Here is an 11,419-nt window from a genome sequence, read left to right on the forward strand (position 1 = left end):
TACACATTAGCCCTGCACTCCCTCGCTAAGTGGCTGACGTCCCATATTTGAGACTTCTAACTCCTTTGCTTTTTCTTTTTCTGGGTCCAAGACATCTTGGACAATGTGATTACAGTTTCAAGTGATCCTTCTGCTCAACCTTCTCTTTTTAACCTCAGGAAGCTGAGGTCCGGGGTGGGTGAAGCAACCAGTCCGGGACCCCACAAAGGGCGGCGGCGGGGCCAGTCCCGGGACCCGGTGTTCTGACCCACTTCGCACGCGACCCAGGGTGATTCTGAGAACGGCGTCTCCGGGAGACACTTGCGGTCTCTCTCACTAGCAGACCTGCGGCCAACTTTCGGGGAGCTCTGCGGCGAGCAGGACAATCAGAGCCGGGCTCGGCTCCCCGGTCCCCCGATCCCATGCGCCAGGCGCGCCGGCAACCCGAGCTCCCAGCCACTCCGGGCTGCCGTGCGCGTCACCCGGCATCTTCACCAACGCGCCTGGGTCGGGCCTCCGCTTCCGACACTCACGTTCAGCCAGCATAGACATGTCGGAGAGCCTGTGATACCGCCGCCTCTGGACCTGGGTGACTGCGGCCACTGGGCGGGCTGGAGACTCCAGGAGAATCAGGACGTGCGTAACTCCCTCGCCGGCGGACTGCAGCGGACGGGGCGCGTGCTGGTGACGTCAGTAGCGCGCGACTCGCTCCTCGAGCACGCGGCGGCGAGGGGGCGGAGCAGGGCGGGGCAACCTGGGGAGGTGACGGGAGAAAGAGGGACTGAGGGGGCGGTGGCCGCCCTGCGGGAGGTGGAGAAAGGAGTACGTATTCGCTCATTGGCTAGAGGGAGTGTGCGTACTAAGCTATTGATGTGAGTAAAGCCCGCCTGGGCGTGTCTGCCGCGGAGCATAAGCTCACGTGGATTACCTGTAGGGTCTCCATCAGGAAGCCCTAGGTGCCGGCAAGAAGGGTAGTGGAAAGACGTGACCTGCCCTCAAGCAGCTCAGCCTCACGGGGAAAAGAAATGTGTAAAGAGCTGAACTTAGGGTCATGGATGTTGTATGGACAAGGAGTTTGAAAAACTTGGCTGGAGGGGAGGACTTTGCATTGTAATGTCCCATCTCTTCCTCGTACCCTACCTCTGCTTTCTGAGATAGATAAACAAATGGATGATAGATAAATAGATAGATAGATAGATGATAGATAGATAGTAGATAGATATCAGAAGATAGGTCTGCTATCTATCGGTTTTTTTGTGGGACCCCACACAAAATAGTTGTGGGGAAAATGTTACCTCTTTAAATAATGGGATGCCTTCAACAAGGCAAAGGTTTTATTTATTTTCTCCACCACAGTGCACACACTGGAAGGTTGCCTTTATTATATCCATTTCTGTATTCGTACCAGCACCTCGCAAAATAATGTGAGTATGGTAAGGCTCCATAGATGTTTGCAAAATTTAATTCAAGTATCCCTGTCTCCAGGGGAGTTCTAATAAGCTCTTAGCTATAACACTTTTAAGTATGGTAAAGACATGTTTTTGGGTGAGTGACTCTCCAGTAAACTTCAGGTGACAGTGCACACAGAAGCCTTTCCTACATAAAAGGAAGGTAAAAAGAGCACCACTCAGGTGCCAAGAAAAGCAATTGAAGGACTAGATTCTTGTTTACAATGAAATTCTCCCTTTAACTAGGAATCTGGATGAAAAAGGTAAACCCTAGTTTCATAAAAGTTAGAAGAAACACAAAAGGATGCTTATAGCTATCAGTGAATACTGAGGGGGTGAGGGGAGGCAAGTGAATGGAATTTTCCCAGCCAAGGCAGGAAAGCTGTGACATTGTGACATAGGGAACAAGGTTAAAAGTAGGGCACTGGACTCAGGAAGGCAGGATCACAAAAATCTTAGGATAATTAGCAGATCTATTGGATTATGCCAGAGAGAGTGGAAGGTAGTTATATAGAATGGAGAATACTGAATTAGTCGGAAATCAGAGTTTTTCAAGCACCTCCTGTGTTGGTATATGATTTCAGAAAGGTAATTTTGTCTCTAAGATGGTCAAGAAGATCGAAGCAGACATTTATGGCCTGTTGCCATGGTTCAGGTGGTAAATGGTTAGTTATCGTTGGATCTTCTGTTACAATGAGGTGTCTCCTGGAAACGCTCAGTTAGAGGCCACAGAGGAATATTGTAGAAGGGACTCTGCCTTTTGGTGAATGCAGGATGGTTTCCTATTTTGTTTCAACCCCAGCATTCTATATGGCTATGAAATATTAATGGAGATCATCTACTGAAAAAGAATATTATTAAGTTTGGGATTTAAAAAAAATTACAGAATCTTGTTTGTATTTTAACTGGCCAGCTGGAGTGGAAATTGCACTTGTTAAAAGAAGGTGATCCAATGTAACCCATTCCATCTTGTCCTTCAGTGTCTCAGCAGACTCCCTTGGGCAATACTTCACAGACATGACTGTGCACGCCAGTCACCCAGAGATCATGTTAAAATGCACATCTGGTTCAGCAGGCCTAGGGTGAGTCTGAGATTCTGCCTTTTTTTTTTTTTTTTGAGACAGGGCCTCACTATGTTGTCCGTGCTGGAGCATAATAGTGTGACCATGGCTTACTGCAGCCTCTGCCTCTCTGACTTAAGCAGTCCTCCCACCTGAGTGTCCTAGGTAGCTATGACTACGGGCATGTGCCACAACATCCAGCTAAATTTTTTTATTTTTATTTTTTGTAGAGACAGGATATCCCTATGTTTCCCAGGCTGGTCTCAAATTCCTGGGCTAAAGTGATCCTCCCACCTCAGCTCCCAAAGTTTCAGGATTACAGGCATGAGCCAGATTCTGCATTTATAACAGGGTCTAAAAATGTGGATACCAATGATCCACAGACCTTTCTTTGCATAACAGTCCATGACATGAGCAAAGGTATGAATGGACTCAAGGGTAAAGTAGTTTCTCTTTTTTTTTTTTTCTACACAGGTAGTTGGCTCTCCCAAGTACGTAGTTCTGCTAGTGTGGCCAGAAAGCAGCTAAACAATAGATAAACACTCATTAATGTATCTATTGTTTGGCTGCTTTCTGGCCACACCAGCAGAACTAAGCAGTTGGGAGAGACTGTGTGGCCCCCAAAACCTAATATATTTACTGTCTGATCCTTTAAGAAAAATTTCGCTGGCCCCTGAATTAATTTCAAAAACATGATGCTCAGTGGAAGAAGTACATGCTATATGATTCCATTTATATGAAATTCTAGACTAGGCAACACTAATCAGGCATGTAGGACGGATTTGAATGATCCAGGCCAGAAGCCATTCTGTACAACAAAAGAAGCCAAAAGATGTATGAAGAGAAGGAAGACTGAGATAATAAGGGCTAGATCTCCCTAAGGCAGAGCATCAGAGGGAACACTCATTCACTAACAGCTTCTCCTGAGGCTCTGGAGAGGCCCTGGGGCCCCAGCGAACTTGCTTGCAGAGCCTGGCTGCACTCTTGGTCCTTCACTCCCTGTGAGGTCCGATTATTTGTCTTTTTTCCTACCTTGGTTCATTTAGCTGAGAGTCTTATTTCCTTTTCATACTTCTAATATACCTCCCATTACATAAGGTAAGCCAAGTGAATGTTGATTCTTACAAGCAGAAAAGTGAAATACACATGAGAAAGTGCTCAAGATACGTAAAGGGGAAAAAATCTCTAGGACACCAAGTTGATCATTCATAGTTCATTTAATATCAGTAATTAAAAAATACATATTAAATTAAAGTCTAAAAGGTAATACTCTAATTCTTCACTGAAAACCATATCTAGTTGGTAAGGTTATGGGTTGTTGTTTGATCTTCCTAATGCTTTTTTTTTTTTTTTTTGGTACATTTTTCTTCTTGATGTGAGTCATATTTTCCTGCATCTTTCACACCTGGTAACCTTTTTATTTTACATCCGACATTGTGAGTGTTACTTTATTGGGGGCTGAAGGCTTTTGTATTCCTTCAAATATTTTGTTCTGGGATAGTTAAGTCCTTTGGGGAAAATGTGGCCTTTGCAAGCCTTTTGTGTAAGTTTTGCTAGATGGGCCCACAATAGTCTTTAAGTTTAGTTATAATCTGGTCCCATTGTTAAAGCAGCAGCCTGTCAAGGACTCTGCTTGATGCTCCATGTGTTTAGAAATTATTTCCACTGGGGAAACGCAAGTTGCTTTTGGCCCTGTGTGAGCTCTGGGGATTTTTCTGCCTTCTTGTCTCTGGTGGTTCTTTCCCAGTAGTTTCCTCCAGTGCAAGTGTTGCTCAATCTTCATTTGAAGACTTGAGGGGACGCTTCTGCAAATATCTGGAGTTTCCCTTGGTATAATTCTCTTCTCTCTGACACTCGGCCCCAAGAATCCTAGCTTCCTTGATTGTTGTCACCTTAGCTCAGTGAGACCTCCAGGTTCTGTCTGAGTTCCGTCTCCCTATGCTGCAACCTGGAAACTCTTCAGGCCAGAAATGAGGGCTATCAAAGGGCTCACCTCCTTTATTACCAAATTGTTAGGATTGCAGTCTTTCACTGCCTGTTGCTCAATGTCTCAAAACCATTGTTTTGTCTATTTTTCCCAGCTTTGTAGTGAAGGTGGAAGGGTAAATCCAGTTTCTTTACTCCATCATGGCCGGAAGCAGAAATTGCTAATACTCTGACTATTTCAAATAACCTACAATTTGTATACTAGCTGTGAGTACTTACAAAAGTCAAGTATTTAAAAAGTAGAATCATTCTGTCTGTAACTGGCAAATTAGAACTGTAAAGGTTTTAAGCCAAGAAACCAAATTTTGCCTTTGAATTGAAACCACCTTTGCTAAAATTATAACAGTGAGAAAATTATGACAATGAAAGAGACCTGACCTAACCAACTCCATCTTGCCTTTAACCTCCAAGCTGCCCTTGTTCATTCCTGGGTGTAGGCTGAACTAACTTTGGGAGGAATTTAGTTAATAGTTTAATTTTAAAACAAGGATGATAACAGCCCCTCCCTGAAACAGCCCCACCATGGCTCAGGTATAATACAGCCAGAGGCCACAAGACTGCTAACCTACCTATTTGCTCCTATAGATAACATTACTATTATAAAACCTAAGATTGGTGTTTTATAATAGACCATAACATTCTGCATTCTGATGGATCCGCTGGAGCCACCCAGGCCAGTAAAGTGGCTCGTCTGGTCTTGTGGCCCCTACCCAAGAAGTGGCTCATGCAAGAGGAGAGCTTCGACTACCTATGATTTCGTCTCCAACCCAACCAATCAGCAATCCCCATTCCCTAGCCTCCTGCCTGCCAAACTACTGTATAAAAATTTCAGTTTCTGAATTTTCGGGACAGCTTATTTGAGTAATAATAAAACTCCAGTCTCCCATTTAGCTAGCTCTATGTGTATTAAACCTTCTATTGCAATTCCCCTGTCTTGATAAACCAGGTCTATCTGGTTAGCCTGCGAGAGAAACCCATCAGGCAGTTACAGAATCAATGTTTTTTTTTTTTCTTTAGTGATGACAGATAAACCTGAAATGACATGATGCAGAAAAATAAAATATCATGTGCTCTGAACGACTGCTGTTTAAAAAAAAAACTAAACATTTGAAAGAGCATCTTAAATTTTAGTAGATTTGTGTATATTGTAGACATTGGGGGAGGCAGGGTAAAAGAAGAAGAGATTTTTTTTTTCCATGTATTTCAAGCTAATTCTGCCATTGATATTTGCCGTAGGTCTCTCCTGCACCCTTCCCTCACCAACATTTTGGGTTATTTCTCTAATTTTCCTAAAGACAACTGATGCAGCCTGTGGCATCTTTTTGTGTGTGAGCATCCCAAAAAACCGTCACCGTGACCTTGGCTTTTGACCAGTCCACTTTCTCTTTGACTGGACCATTTCCATTTATTGGTAGCCATTGCTTTGGTTGTGATTTGTCTTCAGGATTGTACTGGTGAAGCTGTGGTTTATTTCCTGTTTCACTTCTCCGAAGAAGTGCTTCAGGATCTTCATTCCACTTGTTTAGAATTTCCACTGAAAGCTCTGCTCTTGTCTGCAGCTGATCTGGGTGCAATAGTTTTGGCACCCATTGAATGGAAAGATTGCTCAACTCTAATTTTTCGGTCAGAGTTGTATACACTGAACCAATTGCGATATCTATGGTTTGGCTATTGTTTCTCCTGTAAATCATTAGCCCTCTTCAATTAGTGCATGAACAAACTTAGTTTTTTCCTTGCAAATTAATGTGGATGATCTACCACTATAGGTGTAATCTTTAACATCATCTTATTCCTTCTTAAAGTAAGTTATCCGCTTGTAAACTGCTTATTTCTTTGGGGCATTGTCCCCATAAACTTTTTATAAAGCATCAGTGATTTCACCATTCCACCCAAGCTTCACCATAAATTTGGTGTTTGTTCTTGCTTCAATTTTAGCAGAATTCATGTTGTTCTGAAAGGGGGCTCTTTCAAATTGATGTCTTAGTGCCTCAAACTAGATCATGTTCTAACATGTTATAACAAGTTATTACAAGTGTATTTTGGTGCAAAAAAATTGAAATCCATGCATAATATGACCTTTCCATGAAGTTTTGGAAGACCTCTCCTATGCTTATGCATACACTCCCCAAACGTATCAATCCAGTTGCTATTGCCCAAGGAACAGAAGGCTCATCACTCCATGGAGGGTTTTTCCTGCAGCCCCTACCTAAGACCTTCTCACTTTCTCTGACAGTCCTATCATCGTGTCGTAAAAGGCCTGCCCACTTAGTCCAACACACTGGAAATGGATGATTGACAACATGTTTATTTACCCATCCCCTGGGGGAAAGTCTCAGATTTTGTGAGGTTGTTGCCCCTGCAATGTGCTTTAAACTCAGCTTTCTGTTGCTTGTGTCTCTGGGTCAGAAGAATTTGTCAGTGATAATGTTTTTGTTAAAGTCCTATGCCCAGTTAATGCCAACTCAGCGCTCTCATCCCCTAGGGCTCCTGTAATCATTTTTCTTGCCTTCTCTTACAGTTTCTGTATGTTATAGAAGTTCAAAGAAGACAAACTCTAGCCAAGAGCAGTGTGAAGAAAAGAAGACGCTATATTAATCACAGTCCAGGGATGCCTTCTGGCTTCCTGGCAGCAATTCCGGCCTGAGATTCCTTCTCTGTGCATACTTCCTGTCAACATTGTGTGATGTCAAGCTGTGGCCGTCACAAAAGTACTGTGAACACCTGTAAATCCCAACTATCAAAAATCACACCCAGGAATCCAAATTAGCATTATTATGTCAAAAGAAAAACCTGATTTCTTCACTGTCTGATAACTGCTTTCTTTATTGTCCTAAACTAGCATTCCCTAACCTTTGAGTGAGATAGTGACACTTTAGTTTCTTATATTCTAAAATGTTTTCAGGGGCAGCTGGTGGCAGAGGAGAGGGCAGTGGGGATAGGGCAGGGAGACAGATACCTGCACAAGGAAGGTATGGGGATGAGGTGGGAGTCAAGATGATGAACGGAGAGAGGGATGGTAACCGATTTAGTCACCCATTTGAGAGGGTCTCCAGACTTGCACTGCTGGCTAAAGACTCCTGTCCTAAGTGAGAAAGCATCATGTCAGGCAGGGGCTCTATCCCGGTGGTTATGGGTGGACATTCTGGAGTGATCTAAGGAGGCTTCCCGAGTCTCACTGTTGGCTCTCCCTGACCCCTTCTAAAGCTTTCTTTCTAGCTTCTGCTGCCCTCCAGGTAAGCACTCCACAGCCTGTGGAGCTCTGTGGGTATAGTCTGTCCTTCCCATAATGATTTGCCTCGCTGCAGTAATTAACAGAATGACTTCCAAAATTAAGGGTTCAAATCTGGCTGTGACACCTACAATTATGTCCCCTCTCTGATTCCTCACCTGCTAATCCATGGGGTTGCTGTGAGCACATGGGATGCCTCATGATACTGCAAGTGGCCACTGCCAGTTGCCTTGAGAATTACAAGCAGCTCTTGGTGCCTAATCTGCTCCATCTCTTATTCTTCATATTCTATGTATGTCTTCCTCTGCCACTTACCAGCTGTTGACCTTGGGCAGGTTACTAAATTTCCTATGCTTTCTTTTCCCCATTTATGTAAGAATAGCAATGATACCTACCTCAAAGGTACTGTAGATGCTATAGATGGAACATTGGTTTCCTCCTTAAAATTTACATATTGAAATCTTAACCCCCAATGTGAGAGTATTTGCAGGTGGGACCTTGAGAGGTGATTAGTTCACTAGGGTGGAGCCCACATGAATGGGATTAATGCCCTTATAAAAGAGATCCTGGAGAGTCTTGTCCCTTCCACCCTGTGAGGACATGGTGAGAAGTGGCCCCTCACCAGACACCAATTCTGCCAGCACCTTGATCTTGGACTTCCCAGCCTCTAGAACTGTGAGAAATAAATTTCTGTTGTTTATAAGACTGTGTTACCCAGTCTCTGGTATCTTGTTATAGCATCCTGAACTGACTAAGACAATACATGCATTGCTATTCAATGAAGTGATATATACCACTCAGGACAGCAGCTGGCACGGAGAAGGAACTCAGTATATGATGTGCCTGTTTTCAGTGCACACAATTTTGTTTTGTTTTTAACTATACACCAAGGCCACTGTCTTGATCTGTCCACAACTGATGACCATGTAGGTAACAAATGAGAGACTCCTGGGTGGTGGGGGGGAGTTTCTTTGGACATAGAACCCTTCAGAATCGTGACCTGTTACATCACTAGCCGGGGGTTATTGCTGGTTGAGGGGGGTGATAAAGAGGAGGCCATGACCATAGAGTACAAATACTTGCATCAGGCATTACTTTAAGGAAATATCTCTAAGTCTTTTAGGACACTTTTATTTATACAGTGTTAATTTATACATAGTCCCTTTAAAAAAACTTTGTTGCAAGAGATATTAAGTCAAAACCATTTGCAAAACTGTAGCACCCCATTTTTTAAAATCCCACTTTTAAATACAAAAAAGGTATATATAATAGTCTATATATACATACATATATGGTTATTATATGCATGGAAAAATTGGGGGAGACTCTATTCCAAATTGTTAATACTGATATTTTCAGCAGAGGGGGGAAAGACATTACAGAAGACTTTTATTTTCTACAGTATGCATTTCTATATTATCAAAACTTATAAATAATAAAAATACATGTTACTTCTTTATGATATCAGAATAGTTTAAATACTTCTATTCATTAATTTGAGAAAAGGGGCATGCAACTGTGGAAAGTGTGGTCCGCACATGGAATGGACATAAGTGTCTTGCCTGGAAATTCAACTCCAACTCATCTACTCACTCCAAGGCATGCTGGAAACCCATTATAGGCACCCATGACAGAAATCTGTCAGCATTTTGGAAACCACTTGACCCCTATAGGATGACTATGTGAATGCGGAGCTGTTGAAAGTGTCACTCAGTTGGCCACCATTGGGTCCTCTGTAGACGCCCTGGCTTCTGGTGCACATAGTGTGTCTGCAGCAGCTCTGCTCTGCCATGACTCCACATTTTATGTCTGTTAGTAGCTTGGGAGAAGTTGGAGTGGGGTTAAGAAGACATATTCTGTGGGCTACCCTCCAGCTTACTCCTCCATTAGACAATTAACAATGTACTGAACTGATGGGGTCAGATTCCAAGACACCAATTGGACCACATTTTCTAGTGGTCAAAGTCACTGTCGGTGGCAAAAGTCACAAGCCACAAACTTAGATGTGGCTTTCTCTGTGATGGCAAAAGGAATGGGCTGAGCCAGAGTTGTCTCTCCGGGAAGCCTTGCCCATCTTGCTTTCCACCTCTCTCCCTCTCTGTGAGTACGAGCGTGGCAGGCTTATAGATCAGCCAGCTGGGGAAGGAGTTAGACTCAAGGCAGAGAAGCAGCCTCACTTAGGCCCGGAGTCTGGTCATGGACTCCAGTTTGGTTTACCAGAAACCGTACATCAGGGTAAACACCACATGTCCAGGTAACAGTGACGTACAGTGAAGGGAAGAGCTTCATTCACTGATGTCAACTCTTGCTTGGGGCCACTTCCTTTTTCACAGAGCAAATGATTCTTTGAAGTCCAACTCTACGTGGCGCACCCAAAGCCAGTGATGACGGGGATGCCTCCTGACTCCAAAATTTGACTTCTAGTGGAGGATGAGATTTACAAAACGCTGTTTTTTGCGACCGAGGGTGGGAAAGTCCTCACTTTTCCATAGTGTTCACAGAGTGAAGATGTCATGATATAGGCACCTTCCAAAGTGTGCTGGTCCCTTCCAATACCAAAGATCTCTCCCAGCCTCATGGCACTCATTCTCTGCCACTGCCTGACCTTCCTGAATCCTTTCATTGCCATATTCTGCTTGCCCTACATTTTCTTTTATTTTTTAAAAAATTTTTAAGACAGCATCTCACTCGGTTGCCCAGGCTGGACTGCAGTGGTGTGATCATAGCTTACTGCAGGCTTGAACTCCTGGGCTCAAGTGATCCTCTCACCTCAACCTCCTGAGCAGCTGAGACTACAGGCTAGCACCACCACGCCCGGCTAATTTTTAAAAATTTATTTTTTGTGGAGATGGTCTCACTATATTGCCCTGGCTGATCTTGAATTCCTAGGTTCAAGCAATCCTCCTGCCTCTGCCTTCTAAAGTGCTGGAATTACAGGTGTGAGCCACTGCACCCAGCCATTCCATGCATTTTTCTTTTCTTTCTTTCTTTTTTTTTTTTTTTTTTTTTTAAGACAGTCTCGCTCTGTCACCCAAGCTGGAGCGCCATGGTGCGATCTTGGCTCACTGTAACCTCCACCTCTTGGGTTCAAATGATTCTCCTGTCTCAGCCTCCAGAGTAGCTGGGATTACAGGCGCACACCACCATGCCCGGCTAATTGTTGTATTTTTAGTAGAGACGGGGTTTCACCATGTTGGCCAGGCTGGTCTCGAACTCCTGACTTCAGGTGATCTGCCCGCCTCGGCTTCCCAGAGTACTGGGATTACAGGCGTGAGCCACCATGCCCGGTAATTCCCTGCATTTTCTTTTCCCTCCCTTTGCTATTATTTCTCCTGCAGATGTGTAGCCTTAGCTATCACCTGAACTTGTTTGGTCTTCTCCTCTTTTCCTTATAGTCTCATTCCCTTCGAGGGCTCATGCTTTTTCATGATTTCAGCCACCCTGCCTTTCTGATGTCTCCCCGTAGGTCTTCTGAGCAGGGAACTTCCTTCCAGCTTTTGTGCAAGCTGCACTGCCTGCCTTGCCATTAGCACTCACTTCAGTGCCCTCTCTGTCTCAGGAGCTCTTCCTCCTGCTTTGCTGTTCCTAGGACTGGCACATCCATCCACCGTTAACTAGAGCTCCATATAGTTCTCCATGTAGGGCCGACTGCAGTCAGTGAGTACCTGTTTTGCTTTCCAGGAGGGGGCGTGTTGAGTTTGGGAGCGGGAGGCAGC

At 44.1% G+C, this 11,419-nt stretch overlaps 1 protein-coding gene and 1 long non-coding RNA gene across 3 annotated transcripts in view, besides 4 other annotated features; one reads left to right on the forward strand and one right to left on the reverse strand.

The window, feature by feature from the left end:
• Nucleotides 1–650, reverse strand: part of PINX1 (PIN2 (TERF1) interacting telomerase inhibitor 1) — a 74,915-nt gene extending 74,265 nt beyond the window's left edge. For both annotated transcript variants that reach the window (NM_001284356.2, NM_017884.6), the window contains exon 1: nt 513–650. In NM_001284356.2, coding sequence (NP_001271285.1) covers nt 513–531 — 19 coding nt within the window. In that variant the 5' untranslated portion in view covers nt 532–650. The remainder of the gene's footprint in view (nt 1–512) is intronic.
• Nucleotides 366–866: an enhancer, noted in NCBI's record as "H3K27ac hESC enhancer chr8:10697101-10697601 (GRCh37/hg19 assembly coordinates)". NCBI's record gives its function as "activates a minimal SCP1, AML or CMV promoter by ChIP-STARR-seq in naive H9 embryonic stem cells {active_cell/tissue: H9 hESC(naive)}" and the evidence as "EXISTENCE:reporter gene assay evidence [ECO:0000049][PMID:30033119]".
• Nucleotides 366–923: a biological region, named in NCBI's record as "H3K27ac hESC enhancer GRCh37_chr8:10697101-10697601".
• Nucleotides 474–613: an enhancer, noted in NCBI's record as "active region_26996". NCBI's record gives its function as "activates an Ori minimal core promoter by ATAC-STARR-seq in GM12878 lymphoblastoid cells {active_cell/tissue: GM12878}" and the evidence as "EXISTENCE:reporter gene assay evidence [ECO:0000049][PMID:35858748]".
• Nucleotides 754–923: a silencer, noted in NCBI's record as "silent region_18916". NCBI's record gives its function as "represses an Ori minimal core promoter by ATAC-STARR-seq in GM12878 lymphoblastoid cells {active_cell/tissue: GM12878}" and the evidence as "EXISTENCE:reporter gene assay evidence [ECO:0000049][PMID:35858748]".
• Nucleotides 801–7,284, forward strand: PINX1-DT (PINX1 divergent transcript). The gene is made up of 3 exons (NR_125432.1): nt 801–851; nt 2,408–2,509; nt 6,993–7,284. It is a non-coding gene; the product is annotated as a PINX1 divergent transcript (long non-coding RNA).
• The last annotated feature ends 4,135 nt before the right edge of the window (nt 7,285–11,419 follow it).

Source organism: Homo sapiens, chromosome 8 (assembly GCF_000001405.40).
Source record: "Homo sapiens chromosome 8, GRCh38.p14 Primary Assembly".
Taxonomy (NCBI): Eukaryota; Metazoa; Chordata; class Mammalia; order Primates; family Hominidae; genus Homo; species Homo sapiens.